Below are 27,189 nucleotides of genomic sequence, written 5' to 3'. Positions count from 1 at the left end.
TGCAAACTCCCTTCTAACAACGAGAGATAGTAATAAAGAGGGTTATGCCACATGACCGAAGGTTTCCAGTTCCTTTTAAAGACACTGCAGGTTGCGGGTGGTGGCTCATGCCTGTAATCTCAGCACTTTGGGAGGCCGAGGCAGGAGGATCACTTGAGCTCAGCAGTTAAAGACCAGCCTGGGCAACATAGTAAGACTCCATCTCTATCTTAGGAAAGAAAAAGAGAGAGAGGAGAAACGGAAGAAAAGAAAGGAAGGAAGGAAGGAAGGAAGGGGAGAAAGAACAGATGTTGCAGTGGTAAGCCCTTGTAACCAGGCATGGAAGTGGGAGGCATGTAACCCTATGGACCCCAGTTCTATTTCAGGGTCCCATGCATCCTGGGGTCAACATTTGAGGACATGCCCTGAAAAACAATCATTAATAATTGTATTTGTGCTTCTGCTTTTGGTGGCCCCTGCAGTGAACAATCGCCACCTGGCTTGTTCTCTTATGGGCTGGTTCTCTTATTTAAAGTCCAATAGCTTTAAAAATGACAGCACCATTCTGACCTGCTTGTTATCAGATGTTAACATGCCCCTTTCCTTCCAAACAGCTCCATGTGTGTAGCATACAGTAGGCATACTTGGAATCTGTGTATACGCTGATAATTTTTCCTTCCCCCAACTCCAGCAGCCGGGTTAGTGCAATAAGTTCTGCTTTGTGAAGAGCATCCCATAGCGAGGGCATGGGCCTCTATAACTTTAGTGAGATAGGAGATAGCATAACTTGTCCTCCTTTGTCCTCCTTGCATACAGCTACTCTCTTCAGTCAACCATTCGGCTTCTGCATTTTCTTTTTTCTTTTCTTTTTTTTTTTTTTTTTAGACGGAGTCTCGCTCTGTCACCCAGGCTGGAGCGCAGTGGCATGATCTTGGCTCACTGCAACCTCCACCTCTCGGGTTCAAGCAATTCTCCTGCCTCAGCCTCCCAAGTGGCTGGGACTACAGGTGCCCACCACCACACCCAGCGAATTTTTTTGTATTTTTAGTAGAGATCGGGTTTCACCATATTGTCCAGGCTGGTCTTGAACTCCTGACCTTGTGATCCGCCTGCCTCAGCCTCCCAAAGTGCTGGGATTACAGGTATGAGCCACCGCGCCCGGCTGGCTTCTGCATCTTCAATGGGCTAGTCTACTGGAGTATACTTCTTCCATCACTTCTAGACAGTTGTGGAATAAATGCCCATCCTTAGATGGAAAGAGGGTGGTAGGGTTCTAATTATTACACACCTTTAAAATTATATGGGAGTTATCAATAAGCATTACCTGTAACTAGAGGGTCCTGCCCGGGGATTGCCATTCTGCCTCCCTTTCTTTTATGAGAGTTTGGGTATGGTGAGGAGTCCAGATGGTTAAGGGCTGTCCAAAGGTTAGCTTCTCTGTCTCCTTCAGGAGGAGGGCTGTAGCTGCCACTGACCAGAGGCAAGATGGCTTGCCTTTAGCAACCAGGTCCAGTTGCTTAGAAAAGTAGACTCGAGGCAGAGAGGCTAGTGTTTAATACCCCTAGGGATATTCCTTCTCTTCTCATGGATATAAGGATGGAAGGGTTTGCTTACAGCTGATAGGGCTGATGCTGGGGCTCTCATAAGCTGGGTCTTAACCACTTGGACTGCTTGGTTGCATTCTACCATCCATTTAAAAGGGCCCATGTCCTTTCCTTTTGATTGTTTATATGAGGGGTGGGCAATGAGGCCAAAATTAGGAATCCAGAGGTGGCAGAACCAGGCCATTCCCAGGAACTCTCAGAGTTGCTTCTGGGTCCCTGGTGCTTATAGTTGGCATATTACCTCCCATCTGTCTTGGAACAAACGTTGTTCTCCTTCTAGGAGGGACCCCAAATAGGTAACCTGCTGCTGATAAATCTGTGCTTTTCCCTGGGAGACCTTATAACTTCCCTTTCTGCTAAGAAGTTGAAGACTAGCATGGTATTCTGATCTGAAATTTGTTTGGAGGGGCTGGAAATAAGACCCCCTCAGGATCTCTTTCTAGTCATTTAGAATGAGCCTTCCAGTTATAAGGATCTGAAATTGTGAAGGGCACATGTACAGTAACCATCCCTCCTTCCCTATTGGAGACCTGCTGGAGGGGAGAGGTAAGATGACTTACCCTGGGTACTGTCCCGGCTGACTCCCTGAGAGGAGTCCAAGGATGATTGGTGGAAAGAGGGTGTGTTGCCTGCAGGTAGGGGCTATTGTCCCCATTTGACAGATGAGAAGGCTGCTTAAAACCCTCCCTAACCACTTCCCTGTCCCCTGCCCCTCTTTATCCTACTTCCATGCCTATGCTTAATTTTTCTCCATAACATTTAAGTCATCATCTGACATTACGTGTTACTTATTTTCTCTCTGTACCATTAGCAAGCCGACTCCTTGAGAACGCACTTCTGTTAAGTTTTGTGTGCTGCTCTGTCCCTTTGCCTCTGTGTCTGAGCTCTGACATGCTCAGACAGCATGCTTTTTGGTGACATGCTATTCAGAGATCTGAGAATTAACATAGAAATGGATTTAAAGAGACCATGAAATGTAGCTCACACATGGTGGCTCATGCCTGTAGTCCCAGCTACTATAGAGGCTGAGGTGGGAGGAACCACTTGAGCCCGGGAGGTTGGAGCTGCAGTGAGCTGTGATTGTGTCACCGCATTCCAGCCTGGGCAACAGAGCCTTGGTTTTTGAGACTCTGTCTCAAAAAACAAGGCCGGGCTTGGTGGCTCATGCCTGTAATCCCAGCACTTTGAGGGACCGAGGTGGCTGGATCACTTGAGGCCAGGAGTTCAAGACCAACTTGGCCAACATGGTGAAACCCTGTCTTTACTAAAAATATAAAAAATTAGCCAGGCATGGTGACGCATGCTTGCAATCCCAGCTACTTAGGAGGCTGAGGCACGAGAATCGCTTGAACTGGGGAGGCAGAGGTTACAGTGAGCCAAGACAGCACCATTGCACTTCAGCCTGGGTGACAGGAGTGAAACTCTGTGTCAAAACCAAACCAAAACAAAACAAAAAACCACTAAACTAAAACGTAGTAAATGTTCATTAGTCTGTACACTTGCCCCAATGTTTCTCTTTATTTTGTCATATATAAAGTATGTTTTGTTAAAAATAACATTTCAGGTTGAAAATAATACGTGGACAGCAATTACTGCTTACCGCTTAATTGGGTTGTTACTGTGAGGGAAACATGAGCCAGTATCTGTGACACACTGTAAAATGTAAAGTACTCTACAACTGTCGCTAACTGCTGTCCAGAGAACTGTTTTTCCCCTTCAGTAACTTGCTTTCCCTCCTCCCCTGCTCCTTTCACCTCTCATTCCTCCTTCTTTCCCTCGTACTCCACTCTTCTCCTCCTTCCCGTTCCTCCCTCTCTCCTCTCCCTCCTCCCACTCCTCACCTTTTCTCTGCTCTCTCTTTCCTCCCACAAGTCCTCCTCGTCTCCTCCTCGTTCCCTCACTCTATCATCTCTTCCTCTCCCTCCCTCCTTCTCTCTCTTCCTCTCCATCCCTCCTTCTCTCTCTTCCTCTCCATCCCTCCCTGCCCGTCCCCTTTCCTCCCGCCCCAGCTTTTTCCCTCCTCCCGCCTCTTCGAACTCGTCTCAGGTGTCTCTCTCTTTCTCTAGGCTTCGCCGCCCCCTCATGGCGGATATGCATCACTGCCTGTGCCGTGGGCCTGAGAAAGTCTCACCCTCTCAACCCCTGTCAATGGAGCGGCCTATAGATGGCAAGCTGAGGGCTGTGCACAGCAGGGAACCTCAAAAGCTGAAATGCACGTTTTGCTCCTAGAGGCGTTGCCAGGCGTGGTGGCTCACGCCTGTAATCCCAACACTTTGGGAGGCCGAGGCGGGCTGATCGCGAGCTCAGGAGTTCGAGATCAGCCTGACCAATAAAAACACAAAAATTAGCCGGGCATGATGGTGCGCGCCTGTACGTTTATATGAATGCAAACTGAGCTTTATTTCCATCCTCTGCCCCTTCCCGCTTAATGGCATATCCTTCATCTTAGTCAAACCAGGCTACTCCTGAGTCAATAATGGTCTTCGTCCTAGTCAATTCAGGGCTTTATTAATTAATTTTGGGCCTCTCCTTTTCCTCAGATGGTATCTCAGTTTGGACATGAAGAGAAGACCGCTCCTGTGTCCACGCATGGAGAAGAACCGCTGGCCCTCCCTGGTCGTCTGTCCACTAGGGCATCTGCCTCTGCGTTCTTGTGCCCTGGTTTCTGAGTGCAGAACCACTAAAATCCTGGCTTCTTTCCTCAGCATCCTGGCGAGGTATCCTCAGCCTCTGAACCCGTCAGCCACATTCACACCCAGAGGAACCAGGAAGCATCCACAGCTTCCCCTACACCCTACAGCTCTGCCTCAGGTCCTCCCAAAGCTATATCCAAATAAGGTTACATTCTGAGGTACTAGGATTAGGATTTCAACATATGAATTTTGGGGGACACAAAACTGAATCCATAAAAAGGTGGTTGGGGTCCTTTTAGAAAACATGTTCCAAAAGTCCACGTATCTACGAATTTTTAAAAACTAGAAGATGATTTTGAATTGAGCCTGCTATTAAGAGAGATTTCATTTAAAGACTGAAAATAAACATCTTCTACAAGAATGATATATTTTTTGCATTCCTAAACAGTGATCAGCATATGGTAGTTGCTGAAATATGCCATTGTTTCTATAGGAAATGTAGACATTTTAGTTACTTGGGGATGGAAATGGGGAAGTCATTTTCTTTGGAAGAGTAACTAAGAAGGAACCCAAAATAAGGGTATTGTCAAGGATAGTTCAGCAGACGGAGAAGGTCTTAGTTTCTTTCTTAAAGCATCCCTCTTCACTCTCTGAGAAACTTGTCTTCCTATCTTCACCCATGGAGAAAGAAACTAAGTCAGTCCTATGTTTCTTGCTGAGTTCACCAGATCTCAGAAATTCTGTTTCAGTTATCTGTTAAGAAAGACCTCTATAGATTTAACTTGGCTGTGATACCCTCTTCTCTGGAAAGTCTCATCTCTGAGCTCTTTAGTTGAATATTGTGACTACCACACATGAGAGAAGGGAGAGGTGTGAAAACCAAAGTTAGTGAGGGGTGGTAGGTGTGGGAGAACAGGGTTGGGCTTAGAAGGCCTAAATTCTGGCATGAACTGATTCCACACCCTGGAGTGTCAGATTGATTTATTGGCTTAAACAATAAAGAAGAGTTTTCTCAATTAACAAGAAGTTCTCAGGTAGGACATGGAGAGGCTCTAGTAAGGTGGCATGCCACAGTCATTCTCTCTCCTCCTAGTGATCTTTTCTGTACTGTAGAGGCAGGAAAACAAAACACTACATCTCTCAGGTTCTCAGGCAGTCATGATTTGGAAAAAAAAATGTAGCTTAAACAAACTATATCTAGCAAATTAGATGTAGTCACATGGAATTTGGAGGCTAGAAATGAGGCTACATTTCTGCAGTTTTAACTGTTGTTTGGTTCTCCTGTATAGTGTTGTTAGCAGAGTCTCCAGTGACCCATAATGGATTTTTAAGACTTGAGAGGCAGGCCATAAGTCATCTGTTTTACTGGTGTTGATGCAGGTGCTGCATGGTTCTGGAGCTGGCAGCAGGCAGGAGCTTTCTGATGGTGGTGGTTTTCTTGGTTGTGGCAGTGATGCTGTAGTGCTGTGGTAGTGACACTGTAGTGATTTTAGAAGAGTCAGCAGATCCCTCGGTGGTTCAATTCTGCAGTGTGGCACTGGAAGTCAATCTGAATGCTCAACATAGAAATGTTACAACATTTCTTGTAAAAAATGTTTTCCTGTTTAAACAATCTAAAGTGTGTTTGAGTGTTTGCATTTTAATCCTGACCAACACAGAGGACAATTCCAATATATCCTCATTAAGGACCCAGGTTTTTTCCATCTTTACATTTTGCAAGGTTAATGCAATGCATCAGCTTAGCTCCCTTCATGCTCACAAGATGGCTACGATTGTCCCTAGGATCATATCCAGGCAGAGTAACATCGAACAGAGGAATTTGTTTTAATTGGTTTGTTAACTGTAGTATCCCCTGGGTCTAGAAAAGTGCTTCACACACATTAGGCCAACAATAAATATTTGTTGAATGAATAAATGAATGGATGGATGGATCACTCATCTAGAACCACAAAAGAGCCTGTTTACTTTCCTGCTGATTAAGAACATGGTGGCCTACCCTCCCTGCAAAATGGAAAGAATGTTTTTTCTAAAGTAACATACACATACACATACACAAGAGTTGAGCTTTCATATCCTAACACTTGGTTTCTAACAATGCAACTCAAACTTAATTAAGGAAAACAAAAAAGGAATGTATCATACTATTATAAGGATACAATGGGGACTGTGGAGCCCAAGCACAGAGCTCCAGCTGGGCCTCCAGTCACAGCTGGGAACCTGAGCAGAGGGAGTGAAGCTGACAAGCAGAGGAGTCAGCTGGAACTAGGGGCCACCCCAAGTTCAAGTCTCCCACAGGCTGTGGCCTTGGGCAACAGTATGTGTTGGAAGTTTCTGAATCTTTCTGCTTACCGATACCTGTGCTAACCCCATAAGAAAGAAATTCTGGAGATGCGTCTGATGCTGAGGGGAACAGCTGCCTCTGTCTGCAAGAAAACACCTTTCTGTGGTGCAGGGGCCTGAACTCTTTTTTTCTGTATATTTTCTGCTACATTTTTGGCTTTGCAGGTCCTCCTGTGTCTTTCATAACTGCTCTTGTAGTGCAGCCATAGATGAATGGACATGGCTGTGTCCCGATAAAACCTTATTTATGGACAATGAAATTGGAATTTCATATAATGTTGATGTGGCACAGATGATTATTCTGCTTTTAATTTATATTCAGCAATCTAAAAATGTAAAAACAGCTGTAGGCAATACAAAAACAGGTAGCAGGCCACATTTGGCCTGCAGGCATGTTTCCTGACCCTTGATCTACCCTAAGGACTGTTGGACATTTGAGATGTTTCCTGTGGCCTGGTTTTTCAAATCTACAAAAAAAAGTTTTTAAACGTTTTTTGCTCAAAGCAAGGAAATCTAGTGAAAGAATTGACCTTTAACTTATCATGGCCTGGCTTTTTTGTTAAAGTGCTTTATATTGAATACAAACCAACAAAAATCCTATTATCAAACCATCAAACTGTCCTACTATCAAAATGCCACTCTTTCATAAGTGAATTACTACTGTTTTTGTATCTGGGATATGGAATGTTTTATATACTTGATAATTATGTCTTAGAAAAGAAAACATTTTGGTTGGGCATGGTGGCTCACACCTGTAATCCCAGCACTTTGGGAGGCTGAGGTGGGTGGATCACTAGGTCAGGAGTTTAAGACCAGCCTGGCCAACATGGTGAAACCCCATCTTTACTAAAAATACAAAAATTATCTGGGCGAGGTGGTGTGCGCCTGTAATCCCAGCTACTCAGTAGGCTGAGGCAGGAGAATTGCTTGAACCCAGGAGGCGGAGGCTGCAGTGAGCAGAGATTGTGCCACTGCACTCCAGCCTGGGCAACAAAGCAAGACTCAGTCTAAAAAAAGAAAAGAAAAGAAAACTTTTTAAAATTGAATATTTGTAATTTGTTGTTCCCTGTGATTTTTATGCTATAAAACTTAGGCACTTCTATAAATACATATTAAATATAACCCTATGTTATATTGGAGTTCTTATGATTAGAAACTGCATATTAGAAGCAATTAGTTCAAAGAGCAAACTCCAATGAGAAGACTCATTTATACATTCATTAAAACATTTTTATTACTATGAATTTATTATTATTATTATTATTATTTTTGAGACTGAGTCTCCCTCTGTTGCACAGGCTGCAGAGCAATGGCATGATCTTGGCTCACTGCAGCCTCCACCTCCTGGGTTCAAGTGATTCTTGTGCCTCAGCCTCCAAAGTAGCTGGGACTATAGGTACGTGCCACCATGTCTGGCTAATTTTTGTATTTTTAGTAGAGATGGGGTTTTACCATGTTGGCCAGGATGGTCTTGAACTCCTGACCTCAAGTTATCCACCCACTTTGGCCTCCTGAAGTGCAGGGATTACAGGCATGCTCCCGACCTCATTAAAACGTTTTCAGTAGATTTAATACTTTGATCATAATTGGGAGGTGTCAATCAAGTTGTCTTGTAAATCAGGTTGACTTTTTGTTGTCAGATTCATTCCCCATCCTTCTTCTGCTTTGAACATCCTTGCCTTCTGGCTTCTGGGTAGGATTAGCCAATGGGAGAATGACAAAAGGTTGGAATTCAAGAGGAACCCTGAGGCCAGGATATTCTTTCTTTCTGCTTCCTGTAGCATTGCCTGCAATAGCTGCATCCATTCCAAGGTCTGAGATTCTCCCTTTGGAATTCTAGCTCCTGATGGTCATTTTCTGCAGACCACTGTCACCCTTCTACCTCCCACTCTGGGCTCTAACATGGCCTCTTCCCACTGCCCCTCCATCCTCAGGGGTGATAATAGCTTCCTGTTGTGGCTAATCTCTGGGTTACCCATCTGTGAATCCTTATCTTGGCAGCCAGTTCATTTTGCTGTTTGTGACAATGTCTTATAAGTTCAGCCTAGATCATCTGCTCCTTGCAGGAAGGTAAAGTGATCTCTTATATGAAATCTTATCTCAAACAACAGGCTCCCTAACTCTTCAGTTTAAACTTTAATTTTCTTTTCTGTAAAATGAAACTACTGACACTGTTAAAGTCTGCTACCAAAGACCTCTAGGAACACACCTGTGGTCAAACAAAGCTAGGTTTATTAAACTTGCTACAGCAAGAGAGAATGAACACTAGTGGAACAGTAAGGCATCTAGGTAAGGGGGAGTTTGGAGAAGCTTACTATTCTAAGGAGAGTGTAAGGGAATCAAATATCAGCTCTGGACTGGGTGTGGTCAGGAAGTGGAGCAATTCAGTAACAGTGTGAGTCACTTTTTTGAATTTTTATCTAGGAGGCAGGAGAAGAATTCAAGTGGGGCTGGGGATGTCATTGGTAAGAAATCATAGTCACTCTACTATCCTGCAAAAGGGGTGTTTACTTTTTTTTATGGATGTAGAGTGTCCTTATTTCTTTCCTGTGTCATACATAGTTACGGAGTGATCTTGTCTTCATCTTGTTCCATCTCAGGTAACACAACGGCCTTGTCTGATCATTGTTTATACCATGCAACAAGATAAACAAAAACAATTTTTTTGTGTGTAAAAATTGTGTGTGTTCAATTGTCCTAGCTTTTAGCTTCTAGATGTTGGGCAATTTTTTATGTTTTCAGCACCAACTTCACAGACTTATTGTAAAGATGGAATATATTATATGTCAGCATATAAAAATTCAGAGAAATATTATTGGCACATAAATGCTTAATAAATGTCAGTGCTATGGTTTGGATATGGTTTGTTAGACCCCACCAAATCTCATGCTGAGATTTGATCCCGATGTTGGATGCAGGGCCTTGGGGGAGGTGTTTGGGTCACGGGGGCAGATGCTTCATGAATAGTTTGGTGCTATTCTCACTGGAGGGAGTGAGTTCTGACTCTTTGTTCTCACAGAACTGGTTGTTAAAAAGAGCCTGGCATCTCCTCCTCTTTCACTTTCTCTCTCTCACCATGCGACCTCCACATCCTGGCTTCCCTTCACCTTCCACCATGAGTGGAAGCTTCCTGAGGCCCTCATCAGAAGCAGATGCTGGTGCCATACTTCTTGTACATTCTGCAGAACCATGAGCCAAATACACCTCTTTTCTTTAAGATTACCCAGCCTCAGTTATTCCTTTATAGCAACACAAACAGACTAAGACAATTAGTTTCTTCTAAGTGTCATTACTGTTGAGAAAACTATAGACTAGACCTTGGTGGTACAATAGAGCCCCTTGTACTGGCTCACAGGAGCCCGTTATGCACATCTCTTCCCAACTTCACATTCAGTGACTCTGCATCTGTAGTTTGAATCAGTTATGGTGAGAGAATTTGCAAGCACTACTTGCTAAGATAGTGTCTTTCCCTCAAGAGCTGGTTGTTAAACATTTACCAGCACACCCATCTGGGAATGACCAAGACAGTAAGGAGCTCAACAAAATATAAATGTGGGATTGAAATTTACTAATTTCTTAAAAAATAAATTAAAAAACATCTTTGCTTTGATGAGAGTGGGAAGAAATCTGAGTCAGGCTAAAATAAGATTATACCTAGAACGAAGTTCACATTAATATAACATTTTTAGGGTAGTATTGCGTTTACTTTTTTTTTTTTTGAGGCGGAGTCTCGCTCTGTCACCCAGGCTGGAGTGCAATGGCGCGATCTCAGCTCACTGCAACCTCCGCCTGCCAGGTTCAAGTGATTCTCCTGCCTCAGCCTCCTGAGTAGCTGGGATTACAGGCACTTGCCACCACACCCGGTTAATTTTTTTTTTTTTGTATTTTTGGTAGAGATGGGGTTTCACCATGTTAGCCAGGATGGCCTCGATTTCCTGACCTCATGATCCGCCCACCTCAGTCTCCTAAAGTGCTGGGATTACAGGCATGAGCCACCGCACCCAGCTTTCTTTTTTTTCTTTTTCTTTTTGAGACAGGGTCTTACTTTGTCACCCAGGCTAGAGTGCAGTGGCACGATTTTGGTTCACTGCAATCTTGACCTCCTGGATTCAAGCAATCCTTCTACCTCGCCTCCTGAGTAGCTAGAACTACAGGTGTGCACCACCATGCCCTACTAATTTTTGTAAAGATAGGGTTTTGCCAAGTTGCCCAGGCTGGTCTCAAACTCCTGGGCTCAAGGGATCTGCATGCCTTGGCCTCCCAAAGTGCTCGGATTACAGGTGTGAGCCACCACGCCCAGCCTTGTATTGCATTTACTAAAGAGTATTATCTATTTATATATTTCTGCTCAGCTTGGTTTTTTAGGGTGAGAAAGTAAAGTGCGGGAGATATCCTAATTAATTTACGAAACAATGATGCATTATTAAATGAGGTAATAATTTTTAGAATTTTGGAAAATTCTATTTTCTGCCATATGTTTAGCATGTATGTGTTAATGATTCTAGTTACCTTATTACATGGTGTTTTATGAGAATGCTGTAATTATGAGATTAGTTTATGCACTAAAACATGGGAGACAAATGAGCAAGGAGAAATAAAGCATTGTTATATTAGTTATGAATAGCTAGTGATACCATTAGCTTTAACACTTGCGTTACTATATAATGGAGTTGCTATAACACAGCTATAACCATAAGTCTCAGTTTTTAAACTCAATAAATGTCTTTTTTCCCCTCAGGCAACATCTAATGCAGGTTTTCTGGTTGGTCTTACCAGTGATCACCAAGAGATCATTGAGCGGCTTTGGCTCTAGGATCATGGAGTTCTTCACTGGATCTTCAGCATTTGACCAACAGAAAGAGAAAGGAACACTCATGAGAAGTTTTCCTAAACCAAGACTTCTTCCCACATTTCATTGGCCATATCTCAGCCACATGGCTACATCTAATTGCAAGGGAGGCTGGGAAATGTAGATTGGCTGTGTTTCTGATGGGAAAAGAAACAGACCTTCATATTTTTTTTTTTTTGACAGAATCTCACTCTGTCGCCCAGGCAGGAGTGCAGTTGCATGATCTTGACTCGCTGCAAGCTCCACCTCATGGGCTCAAGTGATTCTTGTGTCTCAGCCAGCCACCCAAGTAGCTGGGATCACAGGCACACCCGGCTAATTTTTGTATTTTTTAGTAGAGATGGGGTTTTATCATGTTGCCCAGCCTGGTCTTGAACTCCTGACCTCAAGTGATCCACCCACCTCAGCCTCCCAAAGTGCTGAGCCACCATGCTGGGCCCAGACTAGCTTCTGTGTTAAAAACAGTTCATTATAAATAACCAGACAATCTGCTGTGCTGTGAATCACAGCAGATTTAAATATCAATTAAAATGAGTGAGTAAACTTCTATAAGTTAAAGTATTTCACTGAGTTTTTCATTCCAGTTGCTGATCTGAATTTGTGTTCATTTCCAGGTTTCTCCACAGCTGGATGCTGTCAATGTCCTGTCCAATTTTAGCTGCAACCTGGGATGATGTCCATTATTACTACTTTTTTTTTGTTATCCTCATTACAGAAAAATTCTAACATCTAAAATGAGCAAATGTATTTAATTGTTTGCTAACACCAAAATGTAAATTTATGGAAGAAATCAAGAATTGATAAATGTAAATTTTACTACACTCTCTGCTGAATGAGGCTACACCAAATGCATTTAAGAATGTCACCAAACTTTAGCTGTGAGTGGTGGCCCTGTAGTCCCATCTACTAGGAAACCTGAGGCAGGAGAATGGCTTGAACCCTGAAGGTTGAGGCTTCAGTGAGCTGTGTTGGAGCCTCTGCACTCCAGCCTCGGTAACAGAGAGAGAGAGAGACCCTGTCTCTGAAAACAAAAACAACAAAAAACAAAACAAAACAAAAACAAAAAACAAAGTAAGAATTTCACCAAACTTTATAGTGATACTAACATTTATTGAGAGCAATTGATGTGCCAGGCATCTTTCTAAGCATGTATAAACTCTTTTAGCGCACAATACGTAAATAAACTCACAACAGTCCTATGAGGTGGATATTATTATCACAATTTTATAGATGAGAAAAGTATGTATTTCAACTTTCAGTCAACAGCAGATCACACAGGATTCTCTGGTAACACCAAATCTGGAGTATCCTTTCATTCTGTAAGCTGCTGCAGATCCTCCTAAGCCCTCGGTTATTTATATTCTGAAACGCCCGTTCATTTCGTTGCCCACTGCTTCTGACTCCCAACGCACCCCTCACCCAAGCCCCCTAATCTCTTTCCACAACCCCGTAGAATGACCTTAGCTTGTTAACAGCCAAATAACAGCACACAACCTACCAAAGCTACTCTGATATCTACAGGTCAAACACAAACTCCTTCAATTTAGGATTTATGGTCCTTAACAATCGCCAGCTGGAGCCCTTGGGCTTTGGACAGTTTTTCAGAATTAAGACAGGGAAACCTTTCTCTAGTCCACAGCAAGGCGGGGGAAAAGGTGGGGCGGGGTGGGGCGAGGCGGGGGGTCCTTAATTTTCAGAGAAAGATGAGTGTTTTATAGCAGTGGACCACTTTTTGGAATATCTTTTCCTAAGAGTTCAAAGCGGCCCCTGCACTATTTGCGGAGATCGTCTGTATGTAAATTCGGGGTCCCCAGACAAACCCCGCTGACTTTAGAAAACTCCGATCTCTGGTTACCCAAGGCAGGTTCTTTAACCAGCCAAACAAAGCACAGTGCCAGAATAACCCACTTACTCCTGATGACAGGATTTCTTGTTCTTTTTAGGGTCAGTTTCAGGTCCAGCGATCTGATTTTGAAGAATTATCGGGGTGTGAAATCAACTCTCTCATCAGCTGAGAACGGAGGCTACAGGGAGGCGCCGTTATCTCTCAGAAAAGATGCAGCACAAACAACCTGCCAGCCCCCGCGTGAATTCGTTAACGGAAACACTGGTTGTGACCTGCAGTGAACTTTGGAAACGAATTTAAAACTCACCTTGATCAGAGTTCCTTAATGAGGAGTTGGGAGAGGAAGGATCCTCATTATTCCCTCTTCGCTACCTCCTCTCTACAACCCCATTCCAAAGCGACTGACCTTCAACAGAATGTATTTCTATAAAGATAAAAACAACGAAACTCCCAAGACGTCTATATTTGGAATATACAGGGAAAACTAGGTAAGAAACGGAATGAAATATAAACAAGAACAGGTGAAAATGAAGCAATTCAGAGGCAGAGAAAATCAGTGATTGGGCGGACAGCAATTTTACCGAGAGGGAAGCAGCTAGGCACTATTTTGTATCTGTTAATAGCTGCCTGGTCTTCACCAGTACCGAAATTATTTTCATGAATCAGATTGACAGGTAAATAAAACGTAGGTGTCCCGGAGACCTCGTGGCGCAACGGTAGCGCGTCTGACTCCAGATCAGAAGGTTGCGTGTTCAAATCACGTCGGGGTCAACAGTTTTTAGCTCGCTGGCTCAGATAACTGTATGGCGGGGAGTACATTACATATTACAGGGGGAAAAAAGTTGCTTTTCCTGCTTCTCTTAGGCACTTGTATACTCAGTTACTTTAGCCTCCTCAAAACTACCCCCTTCTCTTTTTTTAGTAGGAAGATATATACAGGAATATGTTATGGTATTTTGGGGCTTATTTCCGGGTTTATAGAGACGTTTTCACTCTTTTATTGCAAACATTCTGAATTATACTCTTCAGCAACTCATCCCTATTGTTAAACCCTCCTGGACTTCTCTCCATACTCACTCCCACGCCCGCGGCCTTATCTTTTCATCCATGTCTGTCTCTCCAACCTTCAGAAGCTTAGCAGATCTTCGCAGAGACGTAGTCTGGTTTGAGTGGATGACCTAAGCTTACCTGCTTCATATTTGGATCAGCTGTTCCAGGCTAAAGCGATTCCATTGAACTTCCCTGGATCTCTGCGATTTCCTCAACCCTCCCTGCAAATCACGGAAGAAGTCACTTGATTTCCAGAGGCAGAAAACCTGAATGCAGTTACTTTCTCAAATTCATACAGGGAATGAACCATTACATCAGAGAAGGCTAGCTATTCCGTGAACCCCCTTATAGTATTATCTGAAAATGTGCATGAATGTGCCGTTTTTTTCCCCACATGTGGCTCAAGACCCCCTACAGATTATGAATTAGCAAATTACAACATGGAAAAAAGGAAAAGTACGTTTATTTCTTCAGAAGTGTTTAAATTTTTATAACTTACAATGACTTTAAAACATGACATTTGAAATATTAGCAGATTTTCTCTTATGTATTTACTGTACACATTCACACAATACACAGTGACAAACATTACATCGGAGAAGTGTACCTAAAATAACCTTTTTCCTATTTCTTATTAACTCTTTTCTTAGTAGTAGTCTAAGCCTATGGCCATATTACGAACAGATTACTGCTCTGGAAAAAAAAAAAAGAGAGAAGACATAATTTTGAGATTTGGAAACTTGACACGCTAGAAAAAAGGTGACTATTAACTCTGGGACCTGTGACTCGCGTAGCAGAGTGGCGCAGCGGAAGCGTGCTGGGCCCATAACCCAGAGGTCGATGGATCGAAACCATCCTCTGCTAGGGAGCGTTTTGTGGATTTGTTTTTCCCCCTTCCAAAAATAGATCTACCTCATAGGAGGAGGAAATTGGTATAATTGTCATGGACACCGTAAGGGAACTTATTTTGATTTGCACCTCTCTCAGAGATCTATATCTCTGGTTGCAATACATTACTATCCTAATTAGATTAAAAATAACAAAAGCAGTAGTTTTAGCTTTGATTGTTTGAACAGTTAATAGATACCATGCACTATTCCAAGTTCTGAATCATTTATTCCTCGCAATTCTACGAAGTAAATACTTGCTATTACTCTTACTTTACAAATGAGACAAATTGGGGTTTGTCTGCAAGTTGGGGTTTGCAGAGGTTAACTAACTTGCCCAAAGTCATGCAGCTAGTAAATGGTAGAGCAAAGATAAAACTCTAAACCGCCGTTCTGCATAATTACAAACACTAATATTTACAGCAAACTTCAAAAGTTATTTCAGCTATTCCTTCCGAGTTTTATTAGTAGGACATGAACTCACCTAGTATTATTAAATCCCTAGTAAAATGAGAGGTACCATATGTGACATATAGTAACATGTCCAGATTTGAGCAGGCTGTAGGTGACACTTTTTTTCCTGTTCTTATTTTTCTGTTTACTCAAACTAATACAGATGCATAAGGAGACATGTTTAAAGTAGGATGAAATCTACAGACTGTGCAAAGCTTTTGAACTTTTGGAGAAATGTTTAGACAACTGACGAAATGCTTGGGGTTGAATTAATGAAAAGTGTCTAGAAGCTTAAGCAGTAAAACAACAAGAAAAGACAGTTATGTACTAATGCCGGGGAAAAATAAAAATTGCAAGGAAAGGAAAACTTAACAATGTATTTCTTTGCCCACTTGTTGAATTATGTTTATAAAGTTGTCATATTTTAAGCTACAAATATTAAAGTATCATGTATTGTGCTATAACCATATGAGAAGACTTAGAAAGGGAGCATGTGTGTGTCGGGGGTCCTGGGGTGTGAAGAAGAAAGTGAACCAGTTACTCCTCTTATATAAAGTCAACAGAAGGTCCATACAAACATATTATTTAGAGATATGTAGGTAAATAATTTTAAAATAAGCTATTTAAATGTTTAAAAAGTAGGCTTAACCACTCAGCCACGACTATAGGTGCCAAAAGTTTTCTTAAACGTCGTACATGTTATTATATGTCACATATTGTACCTCTCGCTTTACCAGGAATTTAATAGCTGAGTTCACGTCCTGCCAACAAAACTTAGAAGGAATCAACAAACTTCAAGTTCAGGCGCATATGTGGTAAGCTGAGAATGTTCTTTGGGTGTTTTCTATAATGCAAATCAGGAATATGTTTCAATAACTTTAAAAATTGCTAGAGGACAGGGAGCAGAGAAGAGACTTGATTTTTGTTTCAAGTGATTCTTGAAATTATGAGTATGCGAAAAGGATAGAAAAGAAACCAAAATTGTTTGCTATCTAGAAATTTTCTGTTTGTGAATTCTCAATCGTAACTCTCACAGAATGACACAAGGTTTTCCCAAACGGACGTGGTGGCTCACGCCTGTAATCTAGCACTTTGGGAGGGCGAGGCGGGCTGATCACTTGAGATCAGGAGTTCCAGACCAGCCTGGCCAACATGGCGAAACCTCCTCTCTATTAAAAATACAAAAATAATTAGCTGGGTGTCGTGGCACATGCCTGTAATCCCAGCTACTCTGGAGGCTGAGGCTAGGAGAATCGCTTGAACTCAGGAAGCAGAGGTTGCGGTGAGCTGAGATCGCGCCACTGCTCTGCAGCCTGGGCGACACAGTGATACATCTCAAAAAAAGAAAAAAAAATTCCCCTGTATTAAGTTTTATCAAGCAATGTGAAAATTGGTCAGTTCTGAAACTTATCAATTTAGTGATGTGATTTAAAAAAAAAAAACTCTTATGTATGTAAAACAATAGTGAACTGAAGCTGGAGTCTATATTATAAAAATTTTTGTCATCTTGTGTAATTCTTTTAAAAATTAAAATGATAAAATACATAAAATGTATATGAGTGCCCAGGGAAGGGGCATTTATGTAAACCTCAAAGTTTCCACTAAAGTCGAACGAGCCAGCCAGGAGTCGAACCTGGAATCTTCTGATCCGTAGTCAGACGCGTTATCCATTGCGCCACTGGCCCTCTGACGAACGAAGACAGGCGTTATACCTATAGAAAAAAACGTTTTGGGATTACCGCGTCCTCCTATACATGAATATATGAAATTTTATTTCTTTCTGATCATAAGGATTTTGAACCCAAAACCCTCCAATTAAAACAAAATATAGTTTTATTTGTTCCTTTGACTTGTTTTACTCATGAAGTATGATTCCTTCGTGGGTAATGAGAAATCCATCCTTGTGCACAATGATTCCTTCCTGAACAATGAAATATCCATTATGATGTAACTTGTAAAAGATCAGAGATAAGGTTTACTTTGGGCAATGAGAAATCCATTTTGAGGACCTCTGAGACATAAATTGAAATTGTCCTGCCCTGAATCCCCAAGAAATCCATTTTGATGTTAACTTGTAAAAGATCGAAAGCCTTTTTACACGTGAAATATCGATCGGTCGGATGAAACCTGCTTGAAGATGCAAAAACCCACTGCCGTAGTCGGCAGGATTCGAACCTGCGCGGGGAGACCCCAATGGATTTCTAGTCCATCGCCTTAACCACTCGGCCACGACTACAGATACCAAAAACCTTATTAAATGTCTTACATGTTTCCATACATCACATATTGTACTCCTTTTATTAGGGATTTAATAATAGCTGAATTCGTATCTTAAGAATAAAACTTGGAAGCAATCAACAAACTTCAAATTCAGGCACATACATGATACGCTAAGAATGTTCTTTGGGTCTTTTTTATAATGCAAATCAGGAATATGTTTCAACAACTTTTACAATTCTCATATTTTTGCCTAGTAAGAAAATTATCCTCAGGCCGGGCGCGGTGGCTCACGCCTGTAATCCCAGCACTTTGGAAGGCCAAGGCGGGTAGATCATGAGGTCAGGAGTTTGAAACTGCCCAACATGGCGAAACCCCGTCTGTACTAAAAATACAAAAAAATTAGCCAAGGTGGTGGTGCACGCCTGTAATCTCAGCTACTCGGGAGACTGAGGCAGGAGAATCGCTTGAACCCAGGAGGCGGAGTTTACAGTGAGCCGAGATCGCGCCATTGCACTCCAGCCAGGGCGACAGAGCAAGACTCCGTCTCGGGGGTAAAAAAAAAATAAAAAATAGATTAAAAAAATAAAAAGAAAGAAAATTATCCTCAGTAAATAACACTGATGTTCCACAGAGATCCCCTATATTTTCTGACAAAGTCCAGTGCCTGCGATATACTAACGGCTCAACAAATGTCAGTACAATTGTAACTATCATTGTAAAACCCCAGAATCTAGATTCATCAAAAGGTTCTTCAGTGAAGATAGGCTTCTGTCTTTTCATAAAACTCAGAATATTTTAACCAGCTGAAAGAACATTTCTGAAAGAAACTAGAAAGTAAAAAATATTTTTGCTGGTCAAATCCTCTTTCGTTTATGGGGCCTTCTCTCACAAGGGGAAGAACAACTGCATCTGATATTCTGTGAATAGTTTGAAATTATATTCAAAGACCACTTCCAAAGGAAGAGCAGAACCCCAGGTTCTAAAACTGCACTACCATTACCACAATACTATGCGTGTGTGTGTGTGTGAGTATTAGTGAGCAAGTCAGGGATTCTGTATTTCATCAATGGCCCAACTCTATGAACAGAAGAAGGGTAAGGAATGATTGATGAACTACTGCTCATGTGCGGATGGATTGAAAATCGTCTCTACTCCAGATCTCTCTCCTCTGGGCTCCAGAATATACAGTTGTCCTATTTTTTTTTCTTGCATGTCCATGGGCATCTCAAAAGCAATGCAACCCCAAAGGAATGTTCCATCATTTTCCTCAAACTTAAATTTCCTCCAACAATCCAAATTTTTGATGAGATACCAAAACCGAAGACTGGCTACCAAGACCGAAGACTACCCTTGTCCTTTTATGTCTCTCTGATTCCCTTCCCAGCAGGCCCTCAATTCAACCTTCTAATTAGCTCTCAAATCTGGCTCTTCTTCCCCAGCCCTCAGACCACCTTTTTTTTTTGTTTTTTTTTGACGGAGCCTCGCTCTGTCATCCAGGCTGGAGTGCAGTGGCACGATCTTGGCTCACTGCAACCTCCGCCTCCCGGGTTCAAGCAATTCTCTTGCCTCAGCCTCCCTAGTAGCTGGGATTACAGGTGCGCGTGCCACCATGCCCAGCTACTCAGACCACTTTTTAAAATGAGGTACTTAGTTTAGGTACTTAGAAGTACTCATGAGAAACTTCTCATTAAGTTATTGCAACAACTTCTTAGTCTTTTGGCCTCCAGTTCCTGATCCCTTAAATAATATATTCATTTATTCATTCTTCCAAAAATTTTATTTTTTTAGAATAAAAATAAGCACTTTGTATATGGGTAGTGAGACAGAGAATTGCCTATTTTTTTCAAATTCTTTTTATGTGAAATAGCAAAAGCCAAGCACTTTGCTAGGTACTGCTCATTCAATGGAGAGCGAGATTTCTAAAGGATTACAGAAGTTAACAATAAAACAACTGAGTGCAAGTGAGAAGTGCAGCCCTAACACAGTAAGTAGCCCACAGAAAGAGTTCTGGATCTCAACCACAAAGGTTTTAGGTGGTTGCCTGGAGGGTCACTTAGACTCCAAGCTTCACGAAGAAAGGTTCTAGTTTTACCTTCTTTACCTCTGAGTCCTCCATAGGTGCTTAATTAAGTATTTTTGGAATGAATTATACTTAAGCTCAGATCTGGATCTGAAGGATGTGTTAAAATGAGACAAATTGGTGTGGGGTGAGAAAACGGGGTAGGGTAGTGTTCCAAACCTAAACCTCAAGGAATATGGGAGAAACTGAAGAAAGTTCCCTCTAGTTGAAACATTGCTTTTTGGAGGGGTACTGGGAAGGGCATTGATGAGAGATAACACCGGAAATGTAGTTGAGGGCAGATTATGTAAGTAGAGCTAAGTTAGCACTAACCCAGAATGTGTTTCTGACTGTGTCCCTTACCTCCTTTAATGCCTTTAAGGTACCCTGTGGCCTAGCGAGAAGATCGCAGATGACATGGGAGGCCTTCATCTTCTGCATCTGTCCGACCTTTTCAGCTCCTCTTCTGGTCACTCTGTCAAGGGGGCCTGGAACTCCTGAGAAGTGAAAGGACCAGCCCTATCTCAGATGGTGCGGGTTTCTTCGCCCTGACCTCTGCCATGTTTGCTTGGAGCCCCAGAGCTCATCCTTCAAGGCCTTTTTAAAAATAGCACAGCCTCTGTCAAGCCTTCTTGAAAAATTAAATTTTTTATTGTAAAAACTTTCAAACATATAAAGAATGTGAAAGAATAGGCAATTATCTGTATACTCATCACCCACATTCAATAATTAACATTTTGCCGTCTTAGCCTCATCTACCTATTTCTACTGAATCATATGAAACTCACTTGCAGACATTGTGATATAGAACACCAAAATCCATAAACATGTGTCGCCTAAACATGCGTCTTTTATTTAACTACAATATCATGAACAAAACTAAAACAATCGAGCAATTCTTTAAAAATATCTCATATCTGGTTGGGTGCAGTGGCTCATGCCTGTAACGTTTTGGAATGCTGACGCGGGATTTCGTGACCCCAGGGTTTGAGAGCACCTGTAACAAAACAAGCCCTTCTCTTGTGCCTCTGTACAAAACAGATTTTAAAAAATCAGCCTGGCCTGGTGGCGCGCTCCTGTAATCCCAGCTACTCCGGAATTTTAGGCGGGAGGATGGCTTGAGCTCAGGAGTTCAAGGTTACAGTGATCGCGCCACTGCATTCCAGCCTGGGCGACGGAAAGAAACTCTAAATAAGTGACTAAAAACATCTGAGTATTTATTTATCTAATATATTTTTAGAGTCAGTTTTTATGTTTCCTATTCTTTCACATTAGAACAGTTTCCCAGCTTTTTCTTTTTATTGTTATTTCCTCATGACATCTTTTAATCTTCCCCTCCCTCCCTCCCTTCTTCCCTTCCTCCCTTCCTCCCTTCCTTCCCCCAGCCTGGGAAACACAGGGAGATCCTGTCTCTACAAAAAACAGAAAAATAATTAGCCAGGCATGGTGGTGTGTGCCTGTGGTCCCAGCTACTCGGGAGGCTGAGGTGAGGATCACTTGATCACCGGAAGTCGAGGCTGCAGTGAGCCGTGATTTCACCACTGCACTCCAGCCCTGGGCGACAGAGCGAGACTCTGTCTCAAAACAAAGCAAACAAAACAAAATAAGCAAAAAAGTCTAATTGTCTCATAGAATGTCCTACATTCTGGATTTGTCTCATTATTTCCTTATGGCATCTTTTAATTTATTTTTGTTCCTTTTAAATTAGAAGATAAATTTGCTTTTGTGATTAATTTGAGTGCTTAGATTTAGGTTAAACATTTTTGCCCAGACGCTGTTCTTTACACTGTACTAACTTCACATCAGAAGGCACTTGTAGGGATATCCTGTTGATGGTGAAGACCGAGTGGTGCCCCCCAAGGTTCTTTATTTCTCTCTTTGCAATTGACAAGTAGTTTTGGGGTGGCACTTAACACCATGAGCATATGTTATTTCCCAACCACCTTTTCCTAACGGTTTTAATTAAGGTCGTTAAGCTCGTTCGTTGCTTTGGTCTATTATTTTTCTAAGGGTTGCAAATGGTGATTCTTCTAATTCTACCAGTCTTCTGTATTTGTTAGAAGATACTTTTGTCAAACGTGTGGACCTCTTTTCTGCCTTCCTTCGTACCCCAGTCTTTCCAAGAGGTTCCCGTGGGAGCTTCACATTACCCCTGTCGTAATAGCCTTAAAACTCACGTAGCTTGGCGCTAAATTGTAATTGGGTCTGACGTGCTTTATGGTCTAGAGTGCATTCTACAGCCTGTAAGGTCTGTAAATGGTTCTCACATTCGAGTGTGCAAACGAACCACTTGGATAGCTTGGTTAAAACCCAGAATCCTAGAGCCTACACACAGCGATTCTAGGTAGGTCAAGTGTAGTGCGGACTAGCAAGGGAGGTCGGCCTCGAAAAGTTGTCATTTTTAAGAAGCTCCCAGGTTATGTTACTGGTTCAGGGACTGGACCAAATTTTGAGTAGCGCAGGCCCAGAAGATGGACTGTATGGCATTATGGTGGAGAGAGAGAGGATAAACAGACTAAGTACAGAGCAAAGGCAAGGGATGTGAAGGAAGGGATCTACAATGAAGATAACTTAGTGAAGTAAATGGAAAGAAGTACATTTCTGATTACCAGCTTTGAGGAAGGAAAATAACACCAGACTAGTCAGTATCTCAAATAACCACGGAGGGATTCGAACCCTCAATCTTCTGATCCGAAGTCAGACGCCTTATCCATTAGGCCACGTGGTCCCGGGTTACAAATCAGAACTATTTTTTGATGGAAAATAATCTCCTCCCTATGAGCTGTAAATGTACCAAGTATAGTGAAATCATTGTTGTAAACCAAGGAATTTCCAACCCCTGAAAAAAACTTACAGCCTGGTTGGGGAAAGACGAAGTTTAATCTAATGGTAAAAAAAAATCTAATGGCCGGGCGCGGTGGCTCACGCCTGTAATCCCAGCACTTTGGGAGGCCGAGGCAGGCGAATCACGAGGTCGGGAGTTCGAGACCAGTCTGGCCAAAACAGAGAAACCCCCGTCTCTACTAAAAATACAAAAATTAGCTGGGCGTGGTGGCGGGCGCCTGCGTGCCGCTGCACTCCAGACTCCAGCCGGGGCTACAGTGCGAGACTCTGTCAAAAAAAAAAAATACTGCAATTGTGTTCGTAGCCGCAGCCGTCCTGCCGTCGCTCTCCAACGCCAGCCCAGCGCCGCCTCTCGCTCGCCGAGCTCCAGCCAAAGGAGAAGCGGGGTAAGTAAGGAGGTCTCTATACCACGGCTCGTAGAAAGCCGACTGCCCGCAAATCGACCGGCAAATCGACCGGTGGCAAAGCACCCGGGAAGCAACTGGCTACAAAAGCCTCTCGCAAGAGTGCTCCCACTACTGGAGGGGTGAAGAAACCTCATCGTTACAGGCCTGGTACTGTGGCACTCCGTGAAATTAGACGTTATCAGAAGTCCGCTGAACTTCTGATTCGCAAACTTCCCTTCCAGCGTCTGGTGCGAGAAATTGCTCAGGACTTTTAAAACAGATCTGCGCTTCCAGAGAGCAGCTATAGTTGCTTTGCAAGTGAGGCCTATCTGGTTGGCCTTTTTGAAGACAACAACCTGTGGGCTATCCATGCCAAACGTGTAACAATTATGCCAAAAGACATCCAGCTAGCACGCCGCATACGTGGAGAACGTGCTTAAGAATCCACCATGATGGGAAAAATTTCATTAAAAAAATTATCTTCTTCCTGTTATTGGTAGTTCTGAACGTTATTTTTTTTCCCATGGGGTCAAAAGGTACCTAGGTATATGATTGCGAGTGGAAAAATAGGGGACAGAAATCAGGTATTGGCAGTTTTTCCATTTTCATTTGGGTGTGAATTTTTAATATAAATGCGGAAACGTACAGCCTTAATGCAAGTTAAAATGTTTCAGTGAACAAGTTTCAGCGGTTCAACTTTATAATAATTATAAATAAATCTGTTAAATTTTTCTGGACAATGCCAGCATTTGTTTTTTTTTTAAACAAGTAAATTTCTTATTGACGGAAACTAAATGGTGTTGTAGCATCTTTATCATTCATTCACTATACTTTTCTGAGATTTCATCCATTCACTATACTTTTCTGAGTTGTCCTATATGGAAATACATGTTTTTAATGTTGTCTGTCTTCTGTGCTGTTCCTGTAAGTTTGCTATTAAAATATATTAAACTATATAAAAAAACTGTGAAATTTCAACTAGATAACTGCCAAGGGCAGGAATATGGTACTTCAATAACTACTGATCGAGTGCTTTATCTTTTGATTGGCAGAGAGAAAGGCCACGATGAGAAAGGAATGTTTGAGTTGAGAGCTGGAGAGGCAAAGGCAGAACCAGACTGCTTTCCACATGCAGGGAACCACCGCTGCCTTACGATGCTTCCAGGTAAAGATCGAGGGTTAAACACAAGAATTTACTTTTGCATACTCCGCAGATCTCACTCAAACAGCACTAAAATATACATCCAAATAGGGAGAGGAGATAACAGAAACAAAATTTTGTCATCTGGAAAGCTGATTGAGGAGTCGCTGATTTTGAGAGCCCTGAGAAAGCTAAATCCTAAACCAGGAGTGGGAAAAGCAAAGAGACAGTAGATGTTCACCATGGAGCCCCCATTCCTATCCCTTTTCCCTATGCCAGGCTCGGATATTGTCAGTACAGCTTCGTCTGGAAACTACCTGTGTGAAATGAATTTAGCCTTCCTCCAACCCCCTTAAATTCATATGTGGAAGCCCTAATCTCTAGTACTTCAGAATGTGACAGTATTTCATCTGCAAAATGGAGAAATGAATGAAATAATGTTTATAAATAAAGGGAAAAAGAATGTGACAGTATTTGGAGATAGGGTCTTTAAAGGGGGTAATTAAGGTATTTTGAGATCATGAAAGTAGGGCCCAAATCATAAGGGCTGGTGTCCTTATAAGAAGAGATTAGAACACGGACACACAGAGAAAAAATCATTTAAAGGCAGAGGGAGAAGATAGTCACCTGCAAGCCAACAAAAAAGGCCTCAGGGGAGAAAAAAAAATCAAACAGACAAGTACTTTGATCTCGGACTTCTAGTCTCCAGAACTGTGAGAAAATGATTTTTGTCTAAGCCACCCAGTCTGTAGTATTTGTTACAGGAGCACAGTTAACTAATACACTGTCCTTCCTCCATCTTAGAAGGCTGGACTTTTCTTTTCTTTTTTTTTTTCTTTCTCTCTCTCTTTCTTTTTCTTTTCTTTTTTTTTTTTTTTTTTTGAGACGGAGTTTCGCTCTTATTGCCCAGGCTGGAGTGCAGTGGTGCGATTTCGGCTCACCGCAACCCCTGCCTCCCGGGTTCAAGCGATTCTCTTGCCTCAGCCTCCCGAGTAGCCGGGATTACAGGCATGCGCCACCAAGCCCGGCTAATTTCGTATTTTTAGTAGAGACGGGGTTTCTCCATATTGGTCAGGCTGGTCTTGAACTCCAGACCTCAGGTGATCCGCCCTCCTCGGCCTCCCAGAGCCAACGCGCCCGGCCTTATTTTCTTGAAAGAGCAAAATATCGGGTTTCTTGGCTGGAACAGTGATTCTCAAACTTTTTCCTACATCCCAATCTCCTGGAAGGCTAGTTAAAACAGACTGGTGGGCCCCACGCCCAGTTTCTGATTCAGTAGGTGTGGGGTTCCCTTTTTCGTAGGTGTGGGGTTCCCTTTTTCCTAGGTTCCCTGCTGCTTCCGACCGTGAGGCACTTCTTGAGAATAGCTAGGCTGGAGGAAGTTAATCCATGGGGCTAGTGGAAAACGGTGAGTTCAGTAAATGTTAACGGATTCTTTGGGGTTATTGTTGTGAACTGAATGGCTTGTGTACACAATAGAGACCAGAGGGCCCGCGAATTTGGACTGAGAAGTGAACGTTTAGGCTAGAGATATTATTTATGTTAGGCTTTCGAATCCCATTAGGTTGAGGATGGGGCGGGTGTGCGGATGGGTTTGAGTGAAGTAAGTGCTAGCTAGGCCAGGTCTTGCGGGGCAGTGCAATGCTGGAATTCTCTTCCTGAAGAGGGAGTAGTCTAGCGCATTTACAGAAAGTAGTAGTACAAACTTCATAACCGTTCTTATTACTGTTTCACTGCTAATCTAAACCCAACACATAGACACTTTTTCTCGAAACAGAGAAATTCGAGAAATAGAAAGATTGAACTTGAGAAACCACTGTTTTTCATATATGGAGCATTTATTTGGGTTTGGGGTTAATATTTAATCCAGCCACTCCCTTATTTTTCTCAAAAAAGCCTTAGCAAAACTGTGAAAAGAGATCAAATCAAATAATAAAGAAATTGTTTGGGAGGAGGATAAGATTAGATACTTATCTTAAAAGGAAAATGGAGGGTCTCCGTGACCTCGTGGCGCAACGGTAGCGCGTCTGACTCCAGATCAGAAGGTTGCGTGTTCAAATCACGTCGGGGTCATGGGTGGTTGCGTTTTGGAAGGGGGCAAAAGTATCTGTACTGAGATATTTAGTCAGTCAACCTGGGAAAAAGAACTCAAGACGTTGACATTAAAGGACGTGTTTTGTTTTCTGCATTCACAGATAAGTGAGATCTGTCTCTTTTGCCCTTGGCTTGCTGTTATGACTCTAAAATGAAGAATTCCCCTCGTGGACAGTCTATCTTTGGCCACCTCTTTAAAGGGAGATTAAACGCTCTCTTTTGGCATTAGATAACTTTTCCTACACATAAACCCCTAAACATTGGCGCTTTTTCCATGCTCATGCCCTGCCCTCTTTGCTTCCTGACTCTTCCTTTGCTTATCTGCCTGCAACACTTCATGCCTTCTTCTCAGTTTCATCCCCACTCGACCTGGAGTCAGGAACTTGGAGCCATCCTGGACATTACTTCTTCTTCGCTTCTGAAAGGAGTCCCAAGTTGTGCTGAGTTTTACCTCCTCGTATTTCATATCCCGTTTATCCACTTCTCTCAATTATTACAATGGCCTATTTGCTTCCATCTTTTCTCTCTTGCCAAGGATATTGACATAAATCTTTTTTTTTTTTGAGACGGAGTCTCACTTTGTCACCCAGGCTTGGGGTGCAGTGGTGGGATCTTGGCTCACTGCAACCTCTGCCTCCCAGGTTCAAGCAATCCTCCAGCCTCAGCCTCCCGAGTAGCTGGGACTACAGGCATGCACCACCACGCCCAGCTAATTTTTGTATTTTTAGTAGAGACAGGGTTTCTCTATGTTGGCCAGGCTGGTCTCGAACTCCTGACCTCAGGTGATCTGCCTGCCTCGGCCTC

General features: G+C 42.5%; 2 long non-coding RNA genes, 6 other non-coding genes and 1 pseudogene across 9 annotated transcripts, besides 5 other annotated features; 5 read left to right on the top strand and 4 right to left on the bottom strand.

Moving 5' to 3' along the window:
* Nucleotides 2,817–2,956: an enhancer, noted in NCBI's record as "active region_24238". NCBI's record gives its function as "activates an Ori minimal core promoter by ATAC-STARR-seq in GM12878 lymphoblastoid cells {active_cell/tissue: GM12878}" and the evidence as "EXISTENCE:reporter gene assay evidence [ECO:0000049][PMID:35858748]".
* LOC124901288 (uncharacterized) lies at nucleotides 5,181–13,648 on the bottom strand. 2 transcript variants are annotated; one of them, XR_007059521.1, is made up of 3 exons: nucleotides 13,559–13,622; nucleotides 11,330–11,392; nucleotides 5,181–5,772 (listed from the first exon to the last, which is right to left on the bottom strand). It is a non-coding gene; the product is annotated as an uncharacterized LOC124901288 (long non-coding RNA). The 2 variants fall into 2 exon arrangements; XR_007059522.1 differs by lacking the exon at nucleotides 11,330–11,392 and having other exon boundaries at nucleotides 13,559–13,648.
* Nucleotides 8,310–9,188: a biological region, named in NCBI's record as "CRISPRi-validated cis-regulatory element chr6.1147". NCBI's record gives its function as "regulatory_interactions: H1-2 | H2BC12".
* Nucleotides 8,510–9,188: a transcriptional cis regulatory region, noted in NCBI's record as "candidate enhancer chr6.1147 targeted for multiplex CRISPR interference". NCBI's record gives its function as "positively regulates H1-2 and H2BC12 gene expression in K562 cells {active_cell/tissue: K562}" and the evidence as "EXISTENCE:mutant phenotype evidence [ECO:0000015][PMID:30612741]".
* Nucleotides 13,413–13,594: a silencer, noted in NCBI's record as "fragment chr6:26332100-26332281 (GRCh37/hg19 assembly coordinates)". NCBI's record gives its function as "represses an EF-1alpha promoter that drives an FKBP-Casp9 reporter gene in an ReSE screen in HepG2 liver carcinoma cells {active_cell/tissue: HepG2}" and the evidence as "EXISTENCE:reporter gene assay evidence [ECO:0000049][PMID:32094911]".
* LOC101928743 (uncharacterized) lies at nucleotides 13,508–20,593 on the top strand. Its single transcript, XR_241992.5, has 3 exons — nucleotides 13,508–13,739; nucleotides 16,379–16,456; nucleotides 20,303–20,593. It is a non-coding gene; the product is annotated as an uncharacterized LOC101928743 (long non-coding RNA).
* On the top strand, nucleotides 13,951–14,022 carry TRW-CCA3-2 (tRNA-Trp (anticodon CCA) 3-2). The gene has a single exon. It is a non-coding gene; the product is annotated as a tRNA-Trp (tRNA).
* TRX-CAT1-4 (tRNA-iMet (anticodon CAT) 1-4) lies at nucleotides 15,094–15,165 on the top strand. The gene has a single exon. It is a non-coding gene; the product is annotated as a tRNA-Met (tRNA).
* On the bottom strand, nucleotides 17,254–17,326 carry TRR-ACG1-1 (tRNA-Arg (anticodon ACG) 1-1). The gene has a single exon. It is a non-coding gene; the product is annotated as a tRNA-Arg (tRNA).
* Nucleotides 17,796–17,877, bottom strand: TRS-AGA2-1 (tRNA-Ser (anticodon AGA) 2-1). The gene has a single exon. It is a non-coding gene; the product is annotated as a tRNA-Ser (tRNA).
* A 1,982-nt stretch (nucleotides 20,594–22,575) lies between the features above and the next one.
* On the bottom strand, nucleotides 22,576–22,648 carry TRR-TCG2-1 (tRNA-Arg (anticodon TCG) 2-1). Its single transcript has one exon. It is a non-coding gene; the product is annotated as a tRNA-Arg (tRNA).
* Nucleotides 23,029–23,218: an enhancer, noted in NCBI's record as "active region_24237". NCBI's record gives its function as "activates an Ori minimal core promoter by ATAC-STARR-seq in GM12878 lymphoblastoid cells {active_cell/tissue: GM12878}" and the evidence as "EXISTENCE:reporter gene assay evidence [ECO:0000049][PMID:35858748]".
* On the top strand, nucleotides 23,174–23,590 carry H3C9P (H3 clustered histone 9, pseudogene; annotated as a pseudogene).
* On the top strand, nucleotides 26,293–26,364 carry TRW-CCA3-1 (tRNA-Trp (anticodon CCA) 3-1). Its single transcript has one exon. It is a non-coding gene; the product is annotated as a tRNA-Trp (tRNA).
* Nucleotides 26,365–27,189: the final 825 nt, after the last annotated feature.

The sequence above is a fragment of the Homo sapiens genome, chromosome 6 (assembly GCF_000001405.40).
Source record: "Homo sapiens chromosome 6, GRCh38.p14 Primary Assembly".
NCBI lineage: Eukaryota > Metazoa > Chordata > Mammalia > Primates > Hominidae > Homo > Homo sapiens.
This window is presented reverse-complemented; position numbering and strand designations above follow the sequence as displayed.